General features: G+C 38.9%; 1 protein-coding gene across 3 annotated transcripts in view; it reads right to left on the minus strand.

Annotated features, from left to right (window-relative positions):
* GUCA1C (guanylate cyclase activator 1C) overlaps nucleotides 1-23977 on the minus strand; it is a 47404-nt gene that overhangs the window by 9759 nt on the left and 13668 nt on the right. For all 3 annotated transcript variants that reach the window (XM_011513334.3, NM_005459.4, NM_001363884.1), the window contains exon 2: nucleotides 2886-3035. In XM_011513334.3, coding sequence (XP_011511636.1) covers nucleotides 2886-2987 — 102 coding nt within the window. In that variant the 5' untranslated portion in view covers nucleotides 2988-3035. The remainder of the gene's footprint in view (nucleotides 1-2885; nucleotides 3036-23977) is intronic.

Below are 23977 nucleotides of genomic sequence, written 5' to 3' on the forward strand. Positions count from 1 at the left end.
AGTCTCTGAGTACTCCCTATGTGGGAGCAGGAGGACGCAGGAGAGAAAGGGAAGCAGGAGAGTTCTCACTTGGCAAGTACTGTCCCCATTAGCTAATTTCAGTGTTCCCTGGCCTGAGAGGTGTAGACTCTCTCTCCTGCAATTCTGTAGGCATGAATCATGCATCTTGATTCCAGCTGGTCCCTTTCCCGCTTAGAATTTCTTAAAATCTGCAGCCGGGCACGGTGACTCATACCTTTGGTCCCAGCACTTTGGGAGGCTGAGGTGGGCGGATCACGAGGTCAGGAGTTCATAGACCAGCCTGGCCAATATGGTGAAACCCCGTTTCTACTAAAAATACAAAAATTAGCCAGGCGTGGTGGCGGGCGCCTGTAATCCTAGCTACTCAGGAGGCTGAGGCAGGAGAATCGCTTGAATCCAGGAGGTGGAGGTTGCAGTGAGCCGAGATCGTGCCATTGCACTCCAGCCTGGGTGACAGAGCGAGACTCCGTCTCAAAAAAATAAAAAAAACTCTTAAAATCCGCACAATTGCCATTTTTAGACTAGGCAATTCTTTCTTGTTCAGGGCTGTCCTGTGCACCGTTGAATACTTAGCGGCATCCCTGGTCTCTGAGCAATAGATGGCAACAGCCCTACGCCCTCTCTACTCTCCAACTCACCAAAATGTCTCCAGACATTGTGAAATGTCCCCTGAATAGACAGTACTCTAGGTCTACCTGCAGCTTTGAGTTTTCTTCACCTCTTCCAGTGGCTCTGCAGGATAAGATCTAACATAGCTCTATGCCAGCTTCCTCTCACAGTGTTCCATGCCTGATCTATGGAAAACACCCTAGCATCCTTTGTCCCAACAAATTCTAGGAAGGCAGATACTTCCAAAATGTGCACCCTTGCTGCCACTGTTTGCTTCTTTAGACTTCTCACTCATGACTCAGACACTCACTGCTGTGGCCCTCAAATTGCAGGATACAACCACATCTCAATGGTTTCCTAACATCCCCATGTTATTGACCTGGGGGGTCCTACTAAACAAATGTCCCTCAAAAATCCTTAAAAACCTTTCTCTTGACTGTTTTATACCCTTGAAGTGAGATTAAGCTGTAACTATCTCCTTTGTAGAGCCTGCCTATACTGTGGTACTTCCTTGCAATCTCTTAATGCCTGGGCTGAATTCCATTTTAGCCTCTGTATTGTATGCAGAGAGAACTTAGATTATACACTTTGTATTTACCTTGCTGATTTTTTTCACCTGCCCATTATATAGAAAGTGTGTTCCTAGGCTACCAATTTCTCAATAAGTATATATTCCATTGCATTAATTTATTTAAACATTTTCCTCTTTCAGTTTTTTAAAATTTTTTGCTATCTTAAGAGATTCTGTGATATAAATCACAGGACTTTTATCCTTAATAATTGTTTTTCCTGACTCAAAATAAGTAATGCTAACTCTAAAACAAAGATCAGCTTTTAGCCTCTTGACGCAGATTACCACATTTCCCGGAATGTTTTCTCCACTTACACCCTCTCCACAGTGTGTAAGGTGCATTCCTTACCATGCTCTTACCAGAATTTGCTATTATTGTTTTTAGTACTGATTAATTTAATTAGAGACGAATGGTATCTAATTATTAAATTTCTGTTCTGTGCTTTTATTATTTCCATTTTCCTATGTTCTTTTTTTCCCTTTCTAAGTTTAGCCCTTAACTTTAAGGGCTTAATGCATTAAGCATTAAGAAATGCTTTGGTGGCATCCTAAGATCTGTATGCTGTATTTACATTTTCATTGTTTTTAGAAAAAGCTGAGTATTTAAGAGAATATTTTAAAATTTACACGAGGTTGTGTATTCTCTATAGAATATTTGATTTCTAATTTTGTGTTGCAATATATAAGGTATAGGCAGAATTTCTAAATTGTTCACTTGCCAAGTGAATCCTAGCACATTTTTTTTGTGTGAATGATCTATGTGAAATTAAAACATTAGCAATATCGGTATTATCCTACCCTTGAATTCTTTCCATATGTTGGTTAACTCTACATTCGCTTATTTAGCTTTACATTTTTATCTGCTTTGAACGTTTGTTGAGAAGTTTAATTATAAAAGTAGTTCTACTCACTTATTTTTCTGGCATTTTTGCTAATATTTCTACTACGTATTTTATTTGTAACTCAGCTCCTTCATCTATGAAACAAATAATTTGGACCAGATCATTTCTAAGACATCTAATTCTAATGCTCTTTGAGTCTGCCTTACAAATTCAATGTCTTGAATTCATAATATTAATTACACCTCTTATCTTCATTTAGGTATAGTGTCCTGCTTAACCATTTTTTTACTCTGGGATCTTTGTTGTTTCATACCATGATAATAACTATCTCCTACTCCATTGGGGTGGTGGTACAGTGGCTTATAAAGGCACTTATTGAACTTTAGATATGGAAAAGATCTGAGATCCCTGAACCAACTATTAGAAATACTTCAGTATAGCTCCCAGAAAGATTAGTCCTCACATACCTTCATTCTTAGTCCATGTCTCTTGTTAAATATATATAAACCATCTCATAGTTTAGCTATTCCTCACAAGGCATTCTGCACTGAGGCACAGAAAAAGATAAGTTGCTTTACAATATCATATTTGTTTCATTTCTTCATCGCAATGCTCTGTTAAATTTGTGAATGTCAGGGTGGACTGCACCAAGAAGAAAAAGCTGATTTGCTGTTGCCCATTCAGTAATCAATAGGTTAAGTAAAGCTTATATTACTTCAGCAATTCAAAATGTATATCGCCAAAATAGCCAACCCCATAGACAGCTGTTACCTACTCCATAGGAAGGGAAATTGGGTTAACTATATAGCGGCCTGAAAAGGATACTTTACTACTTCACTTACCATGAACATGTCCAGTAGTTCATTTTTGTCAATAGAACCATTTCCATCAGCATCATACAGCTTAAAATACCATTTTAATTTTTGCTCCATTTTTTCTTGCATGATTAGATTTACAGCAGCAATAAACTCCAAAAAGTCAACAAATCCATCCTATGGAAAGTAAGATGAAAAGAGAAATAAATATTTAAGAAGAATAATTGTTTTTTATTTGAGAACTCAGCATTCGTGAGCAGGGCCTTTAGTATAACTTAAATCAATCCATAAGATTTCAGCATAAAACTTTTCCCTAGTGTTTCATTTAAAAAAAAGTTTATAGACACAAGTGACTTTAATTTTACAATTAAGCGCCTTAAGTAAATAGGCATTATTTTTTAGTGTAGTTTTAGGCTCACAGCAAAATTGAATGGAAGCTACAGAGGTTTCCTGTATACTCCCCGTCCCCACACATGCATAGCCTCCCACCAGAATGGTACATTTGTTACAGTTGCTGAACCTACACTGACACATCATCATCACCCAAAGTCCATAGTTTACATTAGTGTCCACTCTTTGTATTTTACATTCTGCAAGTCTAGATATATAATGCCATGTACACACCATTATAGTATTGCATAGAGTAGTTTTGCTATCCTAAAATTCCTCTGTGCTGTGCCTATTTAATCTTCCCTAACTCCTGGCAACCATTAATCTTTTTACGGTCTCCATAGCTTTACCTTTCTAGAAAGTCATATGGTTAAAATTATATAGTATGTAGTATATAGTATGTAGCTTTTTCAGGTTGGCGTCTTTCACTTAGTAATATGCATTTAAATTTCCTCCATGTCTTTCCAGGGTTTGATAGCTCATTTCTTTTCAGCACTAAATAATACTCCATTGTCTGGATGTACCTCAGTTTATTTATCCATTCACTTCCTGCAGGACATTTTGGTTGCTTCCAGATTTTGGCAATTATAAATAAAGTTGCTATAAATATCTATGTGCAGATTTCTTGTGGACTTAAGTTTTTAACCCCTTTGGACAAATATCAGGGGATTTGGATGATATGTAGGAGTATGTTTAGTTTTTAAGAAACTGCCAAACTATCTTTCAAAGTAGTTGAACCATTTTACATTTCTACCAGCACTGAATGAGAGCTCCTGTTGCACCACATCCTCACTGGCATTTGGTGTTTTTAGTGTTCTGGATTTTGGCCATTCTAATAGGTGTGTAGTGGTATCTCCTTGTTTTAACTTGCAATTCCCTAATAATATATGATGTTGAACATCTTTTTGTGTGCTTGTTTACCACCTGTATTTCTTCTTTGGTGAAATATTTGGCCTATTTCTTAATCAGATTGTTTTCCTTTTTTCAATTTTTTTATTTCAATAGGTTTTTGGGGATCAGGGGGCATTTGGTTACATGAATACGTTTTTTAGTGGTGATTTCTGAGATTTTGGTGCACCCATCACCTGAGCAGTGAACACTGTACCCAATGTGTAGTCTTTTATCCCTCGCCACCCTCTACCCTTTCCCCAAAGTCCAATGTATCATTCTTATACCTTTGCATCCTCATAGCTTAACTCCCACATATGAGTGAGAACAGACATTGTTTGGTTTTTCCATTTCTGAGTTACTTCACTTAGAATAATAGCCTCTACTTTTTTCCAGGTTGCTGTGAATGCCATTGTTTCATTACTTTTTATGGCTGAGTAGTATTCCATGGTGTATACACACACACATACACAAACACACACACACACACACACACACACACACACACACACACACATATATATATGGATAATTTTCTTTATCCACTCATTGAATGACAGGCATTTAAGCTGGTTCCATATTTTTGCATTTGCAAATTGTGCTGCCATACACATGCATGTGCAAGTATCTTTTTCATATAATGACTTCTTTTTCTCTGGGTAGATACCTAGTAGTGGGATTGCTGGATCAAACAGTAGGTCTATGTTTAGTTTTTAAGGAATCTCCACACTGTTTCACATAGTAGTTGTACTAGTTTACATTCCCACCAGCAGTGTAAAAGTGTTCCCTTTTCTCTGCATCCACACCAACATTTGTTGTTTTTTTTATTTTTTGATTATGGCCATTCTTGCAGGAGTGAGGTGATATTGCATTGTGGTTTTGATTTACATTTCCCTGATAATTAGTTATTTTAAACATTTTTCCATATGCTTGTTGGCCATGTGTATATCTTCTTTTGAGAATTGTCTATTCATGTCCTTAGCCCACTTTTTTATTATTATTATACTTTAAATTCTGGGATACATGTGCAGAACGTGCAGGTTTGTTACACAGGTATACACGTGCCATGGTGGTTTGCTGCACCCATCAACCCATCATCTACATTAGGTATTTCTCCTAATGCTATCCCTCCCCTAGCCCCCTACCCGCCGACAGGCCCCTCCCTGTGTCCATGTGTTCTCATTGTTCAACTCCCACTTATGAGTGAGAACATGAGGTGTTTGGTTTTCTGTTCCTGTGTTAGTTTGCTGAGAATGATGGTTTCCAGCTTCATCCATGTCCCTGCAAAGGACATGAACTCATTCTTTTTTATTAACCCACTTTTTGGTGGGTTTGTTTGGTTTTTTCTTGTTAATTTGTTTGAGTTCTTTGTAGATTCTCGCTATTAGTCCTTCGTCGAATGTACAGATTGTGATATTTTCTCCCACTCTATGGGTTGTCTGTAAACTCTGCTGATTATTTCTTTCGCTGCAGAAGCTTTTTAGTTTGATTCCTATGTATTTATTTTTGTTTTTGTTGCATTTGCTTTTGGATTCTTGATCATGAAGTCTTTGCCTAAGCCAAGGTCTAGAAGGGTTTTTCTAGTGTTATCTTCTAGAATCTTTATGGTTTCGGATCTTTGATTTAAGTCTTTGATCCATCTTGATTTGAGACAAGGATCTAGATTTATTCTTCTACATGTGGCTTGCCAATTATCCCAGCACCATTTGATGAATAGGGTGTTCTTTCCCCCACTTTATGTTTTTGTTTGCTTTGTCAAAGATCAGTTGGCTGTAAGTATTTGGCTTTATTTCTGGGTTCTCTACTCTGTTCTATTTGTCTATGTGCCAGTTTTTATACCAGTGCCATGCTGTTTGGTTGACTATGGCCTTATAGTATAATTTGAAGTTGGAAATATGACGTCTCTATATTTGTTCTTTCTGCTTCATCTTGATTTAGCTATGCAGGCTTTTTTTTGTTGTTGTTCCATATGAATTTTAGAATTTTTTTTCTAGCTCTGTGAAAAATGGTGGTATTTTGATGGGAGTTGCGTTTAATTTGAAGATTGCTTTTGGTACTATGGTCATTTTCACAATATTGATTCTACTCATCCATGAGCATGGGGTGTGTTTTCATTTGTTTGTGTCATCAATGATTTCTTTCAGCAGTGTTTTGTAGTTTTCCTCGTAGAGGTGTTTCGACTCCTTGGTTAGGTATATTCCTAAGTATTTAACTTTTTGCAGCTATTGTGAAAGGGGTTGAGTTCTTAACTTGATTCTCAGCTTGATCGCTGTTGGTGTATAGAAGAGCTACTGGTTTGTGTACATTAATTTTGTATCCTTAACTTTTGCTGAATTCATTTATCAGTTCTAGGGGCTTTTTGGAGGAGTCTTTAGAGTTCTTTAGGTATATGATCACATCATCAGCAAGCAGCAACAATTTGATTTCCTCTTTACTGATTTGGATTCCCTTTATTTCTTTCTCTTGTCTTATTGCTCTTGGTAGGACTTCCAGTACTAAGTTGAACAGAAGTGGTGAAAGTGGGCATCTTGTCTTATTCTCAGGGGAAATGCTTTCAACTTTTACCCATTCAGTATGATGTTGGCTGTGGGTTTGTCACAGATTACTTTTATTACCTTAAGGTATGTCCCTTCTATACCAATTTTGCTGAGGGTTTTAATCATAAAGGGATGCTAGATTTTGTCAAATGCTTTTTCTGTGTCTATTGACATGATCATGTGATTTTTTTAAATTCTGTTTATGTGGTGTATTACATTTATTAACTTATGTATGTTAAGCCATCCCTGCATCCCTAATATAAAACCCACTTGATCTTGGTGGATTATTTTTTTGATATGCTGTTGGATTCGGTTTGCTAGTATTTTATTGAGGGTTTTTGCATCTTTGTTCATCAGGGTTATTGGTCTGTGGTTTTCTTTTTTCTGTTAGGTCCTTCCTGATTTTGGTATTAGGGTGATACTGGCTTAATAGAAGGATTTAGGGAGGATTCCCTCTTTCTCTAGCTTTTGGAGTGGTGTCAATAGGATTGGTACCAATTCTTTTTTGACTGTCTAATATAATTCAGCTGTGAATCCTGGACTTTTTTGTTGGCAATTTTTTTGTTACCATTTCAATCTTGCTGCTTGTTATTAGTCTGTTCATAGATTCAATATCTTCCTGATTTAATCTAGGAGGTTTGTGTATTTCCAGGACTTTATCCATTTCCTCTAGGTTTTCTATTTTATGCACAAAAAGGTGTTCATAGCAGCCTTGAATGATATTTTGTATTTCTGTGGTATCGGTTGTAATATCTCCTGTTTCATTTCTAATTGAGCTTATTTGGATCTTCTCTCTTCTTTTCTTGGTTAATCTAGTTAATGGCCTGTCAATTTTATTTATCTTTTCAAAGAACCAGCTTTTTGTTTCATATACCTTTTGTATTTTTTTTTTTGTTTCAATTTCATTTAGTTCTGCTCTGATCTTCATTATTTATTTTCTTCTGCTGGGTTTAGGTTTAGATTAATCACGTTTATCCAGTTCCGTGAGGTGTGACCTTATTTGTGCTCTTTCAGACTTTTTGATGTAGGCATTTAATGCTATAAAGTTTCCTCTTAGCACCACTTTTGCTGTATCACAGAGGTTTTGATAGCTTGTGTCACTATTATCATTCAGTTCAAGGAATTTTTAAATTTCCATCTTAATCTCATTGTTGACCCAACAATCATTCTGAAGCAGGTTATTTAATTTCCATGTATTTGCATGGTTTTGAGGGTTCCTTTTGGAGTTGATTTCCAATTTTATTCCACTGCAGTCTGAGAGACTACTTGACATAATTTCAATTTTCTCAAATTTACTGAGACTTGTTTTGTGGCCTACCATATGGTCTATCTTGAGAATGTCCCATGTGCTGATGAATAGAATGTATATTCTATAGGTGTTGGGTAGAATGCTCTGTAAATATGTGTTAAGTCCATTTGTTCTAGGGTATAGTTTAAGTTCATTGTTTCTTTGTTGACTTTCTGTCTTAATGACCTGTGTAGTGGTATCAGTGGAGTATTAAAGTCCTCCGCTATTATTGTGTTGCCATCTATTTCATTTCTTAGGTCTAGTAATAATTGTTTATAAATTTGGGAGCTCCAGGCTGGGCATAGTGGCTCACGCCTGTAATCCCAGCACTTTGGGAGGCTGAGGCAGGTGGATCACCTGAGATCAAGAGTTTGAGACCAGACTGACCAACATGGTGAAACCCTGTCTCTACTAAAAATACAAAAATTAGCCAGGCATGGTGGCAGATGCCTGTAATCCCAGCTACACGGGAGGCTGAGGCAGGAGAATCGTTTGAACCCAGGAGGCAGATGTTGCAGTGAGCTGAGATCATGCCATTGCACTCCAGCCTGGGTGACAGAGCAAGACTCCATCTCAAAAAAAAAAAATTGGGGAACTCCAGTGTTAGGTGAATATATATTTAGAATTGTGATATTTTCCTGTTGGCTAGTCCATTTATTACTATATATTCCCCTTTGTCTTTTTTAACTGCTGTTACTTTAAAGTTTGTTTTGTCTGATATAAGAACAGCTACTCCTGCTCGCTTTTGGTGTTCATTTGCTTGGAATGTCTTTTTCCACCCCCTTACCTTAAGTTTATGTGAGTCCTTATTTGTTAGGTGAGTCTCTTGAAGGCAGCAGATAGTTGTTTGGTGAAGTCCTATTTATTCTGCCATTCTGCATCTTTTAAGTGGAGCATTTAGGCCATCTATATTCAATGTTAATATTCAGATGTGAGGTATTATTCTATTGATTGTGCTATTTGTTGCCTGAAGGTCTGGTTTTTTTTGAGACGGAGTCTCGCTCTGTCCCCCAGGCTGGAGTGCAGTGGCGTAATCTCAGCTTACTGAAAGCTCTGCCTCCCGGGTTCACACCATTCTCCTGCCTCGGCCTCCCGAGTAGCTGGGACTACAGGTGCACGCCACCACGCCCAGCTAATTTTTTGTATTTTTAGTAGAGATGAGATTTCACCATGTTAGCTAGGATGGTCTCGATCTCCTGACCTCATGATCTCCCTGCCTCTGCCTCCCAAAGTGCTGGGATTACAGGCATGAGCCACTATGCCCGGCCTGTTTTTTTTTTTTTCTTTTCATTGTGTTATTGTTATATAGGTCCTGTGAGATTTATGCTTTAAGGAGGTTCTATTTTGGTTTATTTTGAGGATTTGTTTCAAGATTTAGAGCTCCTTTTAGCAGTTCTTGTAGTGCTAGCTTGGTACTGGAGAATTCTCTCAGTATTTGTTTGTCTGTAAATGACTGTATCTTTCCTTCATTTATGAAGCTCGGTTTCACTGGATACAAAATTCTTGGCTGATAATTGCTTTGTTTAAGGAGGCCAAAAATAGGACCCCAATCCCTTCTAGCTTGTAGGGTTTCTGCTAGAAATCTGCTGTTAATCTGATAGATTTTCCCTTATAGGTTGCCTGATGCTTTTGCCTCGCAGCTCTTAAGATTCTTTCATTTGTCTTGACTTTAGATAACCTGATGACTATGTGCCTAGGCAATGATCTTTTTGTGAAAAATTTCCCAGGTGATCTTTGAGCCTCTTGTATTTGGATATCTAAATCTCCAGCAAGGCTGAGGAAGTTTTACTTTACTATTCCCTCAAATATGTTTTCTAAACTTTTAGATTTCTCTTCTTCCTCAGGAACCCAATTATTCTTAGGTTTCGACATTTAACATAGTCCCAAACTTCTTGGAGGTTCTGTTCATTTTTTTTAATTCTTTTTTTTTTTTTTTTGTCTCTGACTGATTGGGTTAATTCAAAAGCCTTGTCTTTGAGCTCTAAAGTTCTTTCTTATGCTTATTTGATTCTATTGCTGAGACTTTCTAGTGTATTTTGCATTTCTCTAACTGGGTCCTTGATTTCCAGAAGTTGTGATTGTTTTTTATTTACACTATCTATTTCACTGAAGAATTTTCCTTTTCCTTTCATATCCTGTATCTTTAAGTTGGTCTTCACCTTCCTCTGGTGCTTCCTTGATTAGCTTAATAATCGACCTTCTGAATTCTATTTTGCAGTTCAGAGATTTTGTCTTGTTTTGAATCCATTGCTGGTGAGCTGGTATGATCTTGGAGTCTTCTTTTGTCATACTATCAGAATTGTTTTTCTGGTTCCTTCTCATTTGGGTAGACTATAACAGAGGGAAGAACTGAGATTCAAGGCTGCTGTTCAGATTCTTTTGTCCCATGGGATGCTCCCTTGATGTGATGTTCTCCCCCTTCCCCTAGGAATGGAGCTTCCTGAGAGCCAAACTGTAGTAATTATTTTTGCTCTTCTGGGTCTAGTCACCTAGCGGAGCTACTGTGCTCCAGGCTGGTACTGGGGAGTATCTGCAAAGAGTCTTGTGATCTGTCTTCAGGCTTTGCAGTCGTGGATACCACCACAGTTTTTCAGCATCTCAGGGAGACTGCAGTGGTGATCTAGTTCTTTCAAAGTGTCTGTGGATTCTCTCGACTTTCCTGGTATGTACCTGTGGTAGTTCTTGGAGCAAAAGTCCATGATGTCAGTCTCCACACACTGCTCCATCCATCTGAGCAGGAGCTGCAAGCTAGTCCTGCCCCTCTCCACCATCCTAATCCAGATTGTCTTCTTATTGTTGAGTTTTAGGAGTTCTTTTTGTATTCTGGATAACAGCCCTTCATCAGCTATGTTTTTTGCAGATATTTTCTCCCAGTTGGTGGCTTGTCTTTTCATTCTCTGACAATGTCTTTTGCAGAGCAGAAGTTTTTAATTTTGATAAACTCCAGCTTATTATTTTTCATGAGTTATGCCTTTAGCATTGTATCGAAAACATCATTACCAAACCCAATGTCATCTAGATTTTCTCCTAAGTTATCTTTTAGGAGTTTTATAGTTTTGCATTTTATATTTAGGTCTCTGATTCATTTTGAGTAAATTTTTGTGAAAGGTGTAAGGTCTTTGTCTAGATGCTTTTCTTTGCACGTGGATGTTTCATTGTTTCAGCACCATTTGTTGAAAAGACTGTCTTTTCTCCACTGTATTGCCTTTGTTTCTTTGTCAATGATTAGTTGACTAGATATATGTGGGTCTATTTCTGGCCCTCTATTCCATCATATTGATTGATGTAACTATTCTTTCAGAAATACCACACTGTCTCAATTACTATACTTTTACGGTAAGTCTTGAAGTCAGGTAGTTTCAGTCCCCCAAATTTGTTCTTCTCCTTCAATATTATATTGGCGATTCTGGGTCTTTTGCCTCTCCATATAACATTAGAATCAATTTGTCAATATTTACAAAGTAACTTGCTAGGATTTTGATTTGAATTTCATTGAATCTACAGATCAACTTGGGAAGAAGTGACACCTTGACAATACTGAGTCTCCCTTTCCATGAATATAGAATCTCTCTCCTTTTATTTAGTTCTTTGATTTCTTTTATCAGAGTTTTGTAGTTTTCCTCATATAGATTTTGTACAGATTTTGTTAGATTTATACCTAATAATTTCATTTGAGAGTGCCAATGTAAATGGTAATATGTTAACTCCACTTATTTATTGCTGGTATATAGGAAAGTGATGACTGATGACTTTTGTATAGAAAACTTTGTGTCTGAAACCTTGCTAAAATCTCGTATTAGTTCTAGGAGGTTTGTCTTTTGTTTTTGTTTTTGGTTTTTTGGTTAATTCTTTTGAGTTTTCCGAAGTTGAATATCACGTTATTTGCAAAGACAGTTTTATTTTCTCCTTCCCAAACAGTTTAAATTTTATATACTTTTCTTGTCTTAATGCAGTAGCTAGGACTTCCAGTAAAATGTTGAAAAGCAGTGATGAGAGGGGACATCCTTGCCTTGTTTCTGATCTCAGTGGGAAAGCTCTTAGTTTCTTACCATTAAGTATAAGGCTTACTGTCAAGTTTTTGTAGATATTCTTTATCAAGTTGAGATTAACTACCTTTTTAGAGAAAATGTTTACTTCTTATGCCAAAGAAACAAACATAAAATGCCATGATAGAAGGCTGAATCCTCACCACTGAACTTCTTCAATGCCTTTCTTCTTCTGAATTTCTTCAGATTTTGTCCTCTTCTGAAGACAAAGTACCAATTTTTAATAGAAGGAAAACATATCAAGCAGACAAATTTTATATTCCTTTTAATAGGAACTGGTTGATATTTTTGGACTGCTAAATTCCAGGTTAGGATTTAAGTGCACAGTTTTAGGTATGAATCAAAATTAATGAGGCTCTTTTCTATAAAGATTTTGTCGTATTCATCAATCTTGGAGAAGATTATTTAAGGACTGCAAGTTTAGGTAGTGTCCCTTATCCTGTTTTCTTATTGGTAAAACATTTTCAGTTGAAACAGAAACAATCTGTGTCACTCTTTAGAATCATATGCTTCAAACCTGGCATACGTAAATGTTCAACTGTTTTAGGAAAGGTGGCCAGCTCTAGGGAGGCATGTGACTCATTCTTCGCTATTTTCCCATGTGAGTTCTGATGCTAACGGTGGCATATCCAGCACAAGAAAACATGCTGCAGGCTGTAGTCTTTCTGGAGTATTTGTGATGCCAGGGCCTGTTTACAAAACCGGGATGTGACATAAAGTAAACCACTGCTCCCCGGAAATAAAGAGCTTTAGATTTATCAGTCTGTAAAGTGTTACGTGTTTGACTGAGTCTCAAGCTTTTGTGAATAGTTTCACGAAGTCTATAAGAAAAGCAACTGAGAAACAACCAATAGTTCTGAATTGGGAAGCAAAGGCTATTTGGCTTTTTAAAAGTTTTTAAAAATAAGATTACCACAATATTTCAGATGTTGGAAGCTAATACGGTAATCACTGTAGCATTGTTTTCTAAACTTATTATACTTTTATTTTCTACACTGTGGATGTTTTACTTTTACAGTCAGAAAGTGATAAGAAAACATTTCAAAGTCATTTTACTACATTTAGTATTAGATTTTTGTGTTTTACAACTTAGACCTCTTTACCCCATCACTAACTCTGATACTTCTTATAAGAGATAAGATTTCTTCTAACAGATAGGATTCTATTTGAATGGGTCTCCTAAAAGAAATTTGTTCAAATACACAAAACCTAACTGATTTTACCTTTTCGCTGCTTGCCTTTCCTACTGCTCACTGCCACTTCACTTTATTAATCCCTAGCAGAGCTATGACTGAGACAAGCGAAATATGTTATTATAGGGTTGAAATTTATTTAAGATGACAACGAGGTATCATATCTCCAGATTGAGCAGGACATGACCATTATTTTTCAGAAACAGGTCTGGAAGTGTGGATGAAATAAGCTGAATGGACAGTATCCAACCAGAGGTACATTTACTCCCAGGCCTTCCTCCAGGGTCTTTAGGGTTGACCAATCAATTCAGCAGTCTCCTGGACAGTTATTGTGTGAATTTACCAAAGAGTCACAGGAGCATCCTCCCTGCAAGCCTGGCTTGTTATTAAGTTGATCCTCCAGAGTTTCCATAAAAGCCTTTTATTTGATGATGGTCTGTTTCACTTTACAAGTTCCACTTCAGTGACTGCATTTTTCAATGTCACCTGCATGATGAATGGCAAAAGGCTAAATAGAGCAATGTTGCCCTTAGAACATTTGATATTTTATTTTTAGGTACAGTACATGGGTGGTCCTAATATCTTTCAATTCAGGCTTTAAGAGCTCTGGGCAAGCCCTTACCATGAGATGCACATAAATATTTTCACTGTATGGTTTTTAAATGAACAACCTGGTTAATCAAACCTTTCTACTTAGACAAGGGCATCCTCTTTCAAAAACTTTTGTAAGCAAAACATTTTGTGTTTTCATTTCAGTATTCTGTCATGCACCCAGGCAAGTTAATCTTTACAATTTACAGCCAATTCTTCTGTTCCATTATCTTTCTGTTAAGATTTTGTAGAAATTTGCATTGGTGAAATGACTTTGGCAAATGTGATTTAATGGCTTGTGTTAGTGTTGGAGGGGGTTTAGGGTACATACTTATTCTATGAATCAGGAGGAAAAAAATTATTGTTTTCAGTTCATCTATGGATTTCAAGGGCTGGAGAGGGGGATAATTATCACTGCAAAGGTGAGGAGATGTCCCTGCAAATGTGACTAAGAAGGATGCAATAGAGAAAGCCCAAAGGTTTTCTTTGGGGTGATCCAAGGGAACAGTTTTTTTTCTTCCTTCTTTTTTTTTTTTTTTTTTTTTGAGACGGAGTCTCGCTCTGTCACCCAGGCTGGAGTGCAGTAGTGCAATCTGGCCTCCCGAGTTCATGCCATTCTCCTGCTCAGCCTCCCGAGTAACTGGGACTACAGGCGCCCACCACCACGCCCAGGTAATTTTTTGTATTTTTAGTAGAGACGGGGTTTCACCGTGTTAGCCAGGATGGTCTCAATCTCCTGACCTCGTGATCCGCCCACCTCGGCCTCCCAAAGTGCTGGGATTGCAGGCTTGAGCCACCGCACCCGGCCGGGAACACTCTTAAGCTCACGTTTCCGTAGTTGAACTTCAGGAGTCCCCTGACACACAGAACTGTTTGGAAATGACGAATTCTTATTGGCCTGAGCCTGAGTGGGGTTCATAAATTCCTTGCATGAGAATCATATGGGGGATAATGAAACATGCAGATTCCTAGACCTCCCACCAAAAAAAAAAAAAAAACAAAAAAAAAAAACAGCATCAAAGCTCCTTGGGATATAGTCCAAGAGTCTGCATTTTAAAATGCTCCCCAGATAAGTCTTATATATCCTAAGATTGGAGAACCATGGACCTAAGCTGTTTTTCTAATCCACACCTTTCTCTGTAGGCAATTTTATCATCTAGCCATCTCTCCAAGTGGCTACTGTAGTTGTGATTTATTCCAATGTGAATTTATGTAACCTTATTAAAACTAATTTGAAAAATTATGACCCATATGGCTCAGTCTCAAAATGATATATGCTATAACAATAAAGTCCAGCAGGCCGGGCACGGTGGCTCACGCCTGTAATCCCAGCACTTTGGGAGGCTGAGGCGGGTGGATCACCTGAAGTTGGGAGTTCAAGACAAGCCTGACCAACATGGAGAAAGCCCATCTCTACTAAACATACAGAATTAGCCGGGCGTGGCGGCGCATGCCTGTAATCCCAGCTACTTGGGAAGCTGAGGCAGGAGAAATGGCTTGAACCTGGGAGGCAGAGGTTGCGGTGAGCCGAGATCGCGCCATTGCACTCCAGCCTGGGCCACAAGAAAAAAAAAAAAAATCTCAAAAAAAAAAAAAAAAAAAGAAGAAGTCCAGCAATCAAACATTAATTTCAAAATAATGGAAGGCATTTGCTTGCATTTCTGGAATACATATGAGTTGCAAGAAATTTTAAGGATTTCTTCACAACACCCCCTTCCTCTCTCATCTGCTTCTCCACATATGTCATACTCTTCCATTTCCTAATCTCTCACTGCCAGCCCTAGCATGAGAACATTTTATCCTTTTACTCCACCAATTTTTCTTGTAATTCTACATCACAAAATTGTAAAGAATCTATTTGGCAATGGCAGAATCCCCCTTTGAAACTGAGGAAGGAGAAGAAATTAAGAGCTCGCAAAGCCAGAACCCATTTTACCCATTCTAGTGAGGCTCAGGAAAGGAGAGTTTGGAAGCATGCATATAAAATATAAAATAATTTTAACCCCAACATGTTTATTGATGTATACATCATGTTCTGGAGTGGATTCCAGGGAAAAGTTTAATGGGGGGCTAGGGGAGGAGGTGTCAGGATATGAAAGTATAACAGCTTCTCAGGCCCTTAAGGGAGTTTGGCTCCATTATATATTGTGAATCGTTTCATAAGGGGGAGAGGAAAGAAATAAAAACTATATGGAGACTTCAAATTTAAGGTTTCTTCTGGTTCCTAAAACCTATGGAAGGTCAACATCACTAATCTTCAGAGAAATGCAAATCAAAACCACAGTGAGATATCATCTCATACCAGTCAGAATGCCTATTATTAAAAAGTTAAAAAACAGTAGAGGCTGGTGAGGCTGCAGAGAAGAAGGAACATTTATATACTGTTGGTGGGAATGTAAATTAGTTCAGCCACTACAGAAAGCAGTTTGGAGATTTCTCAAAGACCTTAAAACAGAGCTACAATTTGACCCAGCAATCCCATTACTGGGTATATACCCAAAGGATTATAAATCATTATACTATAAAGACACATGCACACTCATGTTTATTGCAGCACTATTCACAATAGCAAAGACTTGGAACCAACCCAAATGCCCATCAATGATAGATGGGATAAAGAAAACATTGTACATATACACCATGGAATACTATACAGCCATAAAAAATGAGTTCATGTCCTTTGCAGGGACATGGATGAATCTGGAAACCATCATCTTCAGCAAACTAACACAGGAACAGAAAACCAAACACTGCATGTTCTCACTCATAAGTGGGAGCTGAACAATGAGAACACATGGACACAGGGAGGGGAACATCACACACCAGGGCCTGCTGGGGGGTGGGTGGCAAGGGGAGGGAAAGCATTAGGACAAATACATAATGCATTCAGGGCTGAAAACCTAGATGACAGGTTGATGGGTGCAGACAACCACCATGCCACATGTATACCTATGTAACAAACCTGCATGCTTTGCACATGTATACCAGGACTTAAAATATAATTTTTAAAAAGTCAAAAAACAATAGATCCCGCCGAGGCTGCAGAGAAGAAGGAATGTTTATATACTGTTGGTGGGGATGTAAATTAGTTCAGCCACTACAGAAAGCAGTTTGGAGATTTCTCAAACCACTTAAAACAGAGCTGCCATTTCACCCAGCAATCCCATTACTGGGTATATATCCTAAAAGAAAACAAATCATTCTACCAAAAAGACGTATGCACTTGTAAGTTCACAACAGCACTACTCACAATAGCAAAGACAAGGAATCAACCTAGGTGCCCATCAACAGTGGACTGGATAAAGAAAATGTGGTGCATGTACACCATGAAATACTATGCAGCCGAAAAACAGAACAAAATCATGTCTTTTGCAGCAACATGGATGAAGCTGGAGGCCACTATCCTAAGGAAATTAACACAGGTACAGAAAAGCAAATACCACATATTCTCACTTATGTTCTTGATCTTTTTTTTTTTTTTTTTTTTTTTGAGACTGAGTCTCCCTCTTTCACCCAGGCCTGAGTGCAGTGGCGCTATCTCAGCTCACTGCAAGCTCCGCCTCCCGGGTTCACGCCATTCTCCTGCCTCAGCCTCCCGAGTAGCTGGGACTACAGGCGCCCGCCACCACGCCCGGCTAATTTTTTGTATTTTTAGTAGAGACGGGGTTTCACCGTGTTAGCCAGGACGGTCTCGATCTCCTGACCTCGTGATCCGCCCGCCTCGGCCTCCCAAAGTGCTGGGATTACAGGCATGAGTCACCACACCTGGCCTGTTCTTGCTCTTAAGTAGGAGCTAAACGTTGGGTACTCATGGACATAAACATGGCAACAATAGAAACTGGGGACTACTGGTTGGGGAAGGAGAGGAAGGGAGCAGGTGTTGAAAAACTACCTATTGGGTACTATAATCACTATCCGGATGATGGGATCAGTAGTATTCAAAACCTCAGCATCATGCAAAATACCCAGATAACAAACCTGTACTCCTGAATTTAAAATGAAAATTGAAAAAAAAATAAAAAATAAAAAATATAAGCACATTTTTATATCTATAAAGAAAGCATAAAGGCCGGGTGCGGTGGCTCATGCCTGTAATCCCAGCACTTTGGGAGGCCGAGGAAGGCAGATCATGAGGTTAGGAAATGGAGACCATCCTGGCTAACGTGGTGAAACCACGTCTCTACTAAAAATAGAAAAAAAAAAAATTAGCTAAGCATGGTGGCATGCACCTGTAGTCCCAGCTACTTGGGAGGCTGAGGCAGGAGAATCGCTTGAACCTGGGAGGCGGAGGTTACAGTGAGCCAAGATTGCGCCACTGCACTCCAGCCTGGGCAACAGGGCAAGACTCCGTCTCAAAAAAAACAAAAACAACAAAAAAAGAAAGCATAAAAATATGTATGTACGAATATATGGTTAATTTTTTTCCTTTCTACCATTAAATAGATGAAACTTTAGAAGTCGAAATAAGGAAATAATCAAAATAAGGAAAACGAGAGCTTGTAGTGCTTCTGTCCAACAGAAAACCAGAAGTGGAATATATGGTCTTCAGGCAATGTTCATGAGCTCCCAGAAATCACAGGTGTTTTCAGGATATGATCAATTTGTAGGCAGGTACAAAGTTAAATTATAAGGCTTATATGAGGTGGGGTGTGGCGGCTTATGCTTGTAATCCCACCACTTTGGGCAACTAAGACAGGTGAATCGCTTGAGCCTAGGAGCTTGAAACCAGCCTGGGCAACATGGTGAAGCCCCGTCTCTACAAAAAATACAAAAATAAACCAGGTGTTGTGGTGTGCACCTGTAGTCCCAGCTATTCAGGTTGAAGTGAAAGGATCACCTGAGCCCGGGAGTTGGAGGTTGAGATGAGCTGTGATCTCAACACTGCACTCCAGCCTGGGTGACAGAGTGAGACCCTGTCTCGAAAAAAAAGGCTTATGTACATGTGAAAATATTATCTTATTATTTATTGCTAAGTATAAAAGCTACCATTAATTTTTCAAAAAAAAAGAAAGAAAAAAGCCTATGTCCTGGACACTGTGTTAGTCACTTTCAATGCATTATTTCTAATTCTAACAGCAATTTTGTAGGTCATCTTATTATTCTTACTTTACAGAGAATAAAACTGATTTTCAGAGAAGTTAAATAAATGAATTAAAGTAACAAAAATGAGGACGGGGTAAATGCAGGATTTAAACCCAGTCAGCCACACTCTTAAAGGCCTTGGTTTTTGGTACCACCCACTGTTACCCTCAGAATTCATTACAATTAAATTGTCTTTCTAGGAGAGGCGTCACAGACTTGAGTAGATGGGACACGTTCAGTGCAGTGCGCTATTCTGGATTCCTGTGTGTGAGCTACTTGGTAGTAGACAGAATTGTATAAAGTAAGGAAATTCAGAGGTGCTTGGAGATGAAGATGCTGCACCTTGGAGCCTGTGTTCTTTTCATACTAGCTCAAGGGAAGTCTGGCCTGGGTACAATAATCTGCTCAGCCTCCTGGAGACTTTGAGCCCAGACAGCTCTTGGGGCCACCACTTCTAGGGCCCTCCCACACCTCTCCTTCAGTGCCATCTGGCTCATTCTCTTTTTATCCTCCTCTGCTTCCTGGTGTATTTCATGAACATTTCTTGTGTCCATTTTGGAATCCTTAGCCCTCTGCCACCCGCCCGTAAGTTTAACTTTCAGCACCCCATAGACAATAGTCTCCCTCAGCCTACAGTGTACCCAGGAAATGTTCCCAAATGCCCTTCCAAGGCCTGACGTGTTCATCCTTGTCCAGCCTCAACTGACCTTGTTGTTAATCTTCACCCACACTCTCGGCCAGGAATCCACAGCTGGCTTTTGCTGTGCAGTCTGTCTTTGCTTTGATTCAGCATCTCTCCACCCACCTGCCATCCAGGGGGCCTCGTAGCTGCATTATAGGCCAGACTAATTCTTCCATTCTCCCCACCCTGTGCAATCCCTGGGTGAAATTTCACTGCAGATACCATCTGATATGCCCAGTATGGTCCCACCGTTGCTCCCTCTCTGTTTGCTTGCGTAACTCCAGAAACAGATACTAAAATGTTATCTTAGTATATTTCAGAGACATCTGCTTTGGGGTTTTGTCCCAATAATAGAGCTATGAATTTATAAATTGAGTAATGTCATTAAGGGAACTTGGCTTGATTTCATTGCTTCAAATCTTAAGAATTTTAGTTCTAGAAACAGTCCTTTGATTTTAGATGGGAAACAGACTGAACTAATAATAATAACATAATAAACGTTATCATGATGACAATTATAATTACTGGTGTTGATGTAATACTTGCTATCCATATAAGACCAGGCACTGTGCTTTGCACACATGAGGCCTACACAGTGTTAACAAAGAGTTCTAATAAGGCCCTACACAGTGTTAACTAAGAACCATAGCATCTAGAGTTCTAGTAATATTAAGACTACAGAAGGAGGGGAACGCGGTGGCTCAAGCCTGTAATCCCAGCACTTTGGGAGGCCGAGGAGGGTGGATCATGAGGTCAGGAGTTCAAGACCAGCCTGACAAAGATGGTGAAACCCCGTCTCTACTAAAAATACAAAACTTAGCGGGGCGTGGTGGCAGGCGCCTGCAATTCCAGCTACTCGGGAGGCTAAGACAGAGAATTGCTTGAACCCGGGAGGCGGAGGTTGCAGTGAGCCGAGATCGCACCACTGCACTCTGATAGAGCAAGACTCTGTCTAAAAAAAAAAACAAAAAACACAGAAATAGAAATTGTTGTTATTACAGCAACTAGGGATAAACCCATTTATTCTATGTACTCTCTAATTTAGGAAAACAATCCATCTCCAACAAAAATTCACTGAACTATAGACTCAGATCAAAACTGATTCCCCACACAGCATTAACTTTCAGTTATTTTTCATAGCATCACTATCTGTGAAAAATTCATGAATTTTCACAGCCCCATAACCTGAAGACATTTGCATGCTTTCTTTAACATATGACACTTTTCAATGACATTTTACCAGCTGTGGTGAGTTGGTAGCAACATATGATTGAAATGTCTCTGAAAATGATTACTCAGATGGTCAGAAGTAAGGAAACCCAGACGGCTAGCATAAGCACATTACACAATTGATCAATAATTGTCAGTGACATTTAATTTACATTTTAGGAACTTTAAAAATAGGCAATATAAGGTCCTTTCAGATTAAATATATATTAATACCTTTTGTGAATTTTAAAAATCTGTAAGGGAAATGTTGCGTACAGGATTTATGACCTAGCCTATTTTCACCCACAGATACTAATATTAGCAGCAAACACAGTCTCTATGAAACATGGAATTGCTGGAACGTCCTGATGAGAGGCTTGCCTCTGTGAGATCAGAAATATACTGCTGGCTTGGAAATTGGTTATATAATGTGATCTTTATGCAGATCTGAGATCACACACTGTTGTTCTTGACTTGACCATGACTGTAATAATTCAAGGGGTTCTGAGACAAATGACTTCTCATAATATTTACCAAATGAGCTCTTGATTATTAATAGGTTTTCTGGATATCAGAAAGCCCTAGCCATCTGCCCCCAGAATGCAGCCAGCTTAGCAGGTCCACTGTGAATCAGAAGTCATCTCATGTGGGTTTGGGGAAGGCAAGACAATTGTCCAAGTTTGACCACTTCTGAATACTATAGTTAATTACTGCAGACCTAGGACTACAGTCACAGTAGCCTTTTGCAAGGAAATTCCTCAGGTAGACATTATGGGCTTCCTCTTATAAGCATCTGTCTTCCTAAACTGATATTGCAACAGATAAAATAAAACCCAGCTTCACCCTTATTCAATCAGCCTTTCTCCTACAAGTGTTTCATTTCCCTTTTAAGAGCCTGGATCCTTGCTCCTTAATGAATAGAAGAGGTGAGTTGAGAATGTAGAAAATGGCAGAATTTGATGGTGGGATGGATGGTTATATAACTGTTAATATATTACTTGCTTCAAGGCTTTTTTTTTTTTTTTTTTTTTTTTTGAGACGGAATCTTGCTCTGTCACCCAGGTGGGAGTGCAGTGGCATGCTCTCACTGCAACCTCCGCCTCCCGGGTTCAAGAGATTCTCCTGCCTCAGCCACCCGAGTCGCTGGGATTACAGGCGCCCGCCACCATGCCCGGCTCATTTTTGTATTTTTAGTAGAGACAGGGTTTCACCATGTTGGCCAGGTTGATCTCAAACTCCTGACCTCAGGTGATCCACCAGCCTCAGCCTCCCAAAGTGTTGGGATTACAGGCATGAGCCACCGCGCCCGGCCAAGGCTGACTTTTTTTTTTTTAACCAGGACTGTAACTAAAAGTCAGAAGAACTGCTTCTGAATTAGTAGTTTTGGACTCAGAATCCCCTTTCTTTATGTACCCATGGCACACATATAGACGGCCCCTTAGTTTTCTGTCACTTAGACTGCGGTCTCTCTTGGATAGCAGTGATCCTCATGTGTGGCTACACATTAGAATCATCAGGCAGCTTAAAAAACAAAACATTGTTTTGATTTAGTTGTTCTGAGTTAGAAACACAGCCACTGGTATTTTTAATAATGTCTCTAGGTGCTTCTCATATATAGCCAGAATGAAGAACCACAATTTCAATAGATTCTGTTAAAATACATGAATTACAACAGCTTACATTTAAATGTATGTCAGTGGGTAAAGTTGATGTCTTTAACAGGTAAAATTCTGTGAGAAGCTTAACCAAAATGTTGTGCTTGATAGTATATATGAAAATTCTTTGTAAATTATGAAGTGCCAAACAAATATGATGTACTTTATTATCACAACAAATGCTTCCTGAGAGCTTCCATGCTAGTAGCTCTGAACCCTTAAGAGATTGCAACTTAATGATTTACAATGTAATATAAGATCATTTGCTTCCAGTAAATGTATCTTATGAATATAAACCGTTAATTGTGGTCACCTTGTAGGCCAGAAAACCCAGTACAGCGTTATAGGTTGCAGGGTAGCCACGGGTTAATGAACAGCAGTGATTATGACACAAGTTAAAAGGCATGTTGCCTGCTCCAATTTTTAAGGGCTCCTATACAAAGAAGCTAGAGAGCAGATAACCAAAGGTCACTTCTGAATTTCAAGTAGAGCTGGGGCTCCCAAGCATGAGTCCTGGGTTATAGTAAGACGATAGTCAAAATACTAAGATGATTCTCATTTAATGAATTTCATGCCATGATTGGCAGCCATTGCAAGGGGCAAATGTTGCCCAAAACAGCACGAATAAATGTCCAAAGCATTAAGAAAAATTAAAAACAAGAAATGGCAGGAAAGCAACTCCTGCACCTGTAGAAACACCTTTCGTTTGGAAATACAAGCTTGATAAGAAGTACTGTTAAATCTGCACTGTTATCAAACCTGTGAGGGCTGAGGTCAGAGTTATCTGCATTTTACAGACAAACATTCCATTCATTTGTGGACTGGATTGCACATTTTTTCAAAGTGTTTTCAACTGCATTATTTCACATGAGCTCAACGATAATGCAGGCAGCATAGGTCTTGTCCCAGTTTTGGAAATGAACGATTTGAGACACAGAGAGGTTAATGGTCTTGTCCAAGATTACATACCCCAAGTAAGGGTCAGAGTGGGGACAGGAGGCCAGACATTCTGATTCTTCCCAAGGTGCTGCCTGCACTCTCCTGTTGCTGGGCTGTGATTCATATCATAAAGAGATTCCCTAAGGGGCTCATTTAAAAAAAAAACAAAACCAGCAAGGACTTCTGCTACATTAAAGCTAAGATGTGGTTTATGAACAGATTTGTAGGTAAACCATCATCACATCCACTGTAATAATCATTATTCAAATCCCACAGCCCCGCTACTTCTCATTCCTCTTCCTGTCCAGGATAAACCTCTGCCCTGTTTCTAAGAATTCACTCATCATCCCCTCAGTCCTGATGTCCAGGCTTTGGCTGAAGCTGCTAACTGAAAATAACAACCTAAGGATTTTCTGGGTGTTTTGTTTTATCCTGGAGTTTACATGAACCTAATGCTGACAACTGTTCTTCTGGCTTAAACTGGCACTCCATTTGTGGTTTGAGTTCCAAACCCATACATTTAGAGAAACCATTTTACCTCCCTCTGTAAAGATCTTTGGAGTCCCAAAAGAGGCAAAGACTTTTGACAAGTCTTTTAGACCCGTTTCCCTCCTCCATT

The sequence above is a fragment of the Homo sapiens genome, chromosome 3, assembly GCF_000001405.40.
Source record: "Homo sapiens chromosome 3, GRCh38.p14 Primary Assembly".
In the NCBI taxonomy this organism is placed as follows: domain Eukaryota; kingdom Metazoa; phylum Chordata; class Mammalia; order Primates; family Hominidae; genus Homo; species Homo sapiens.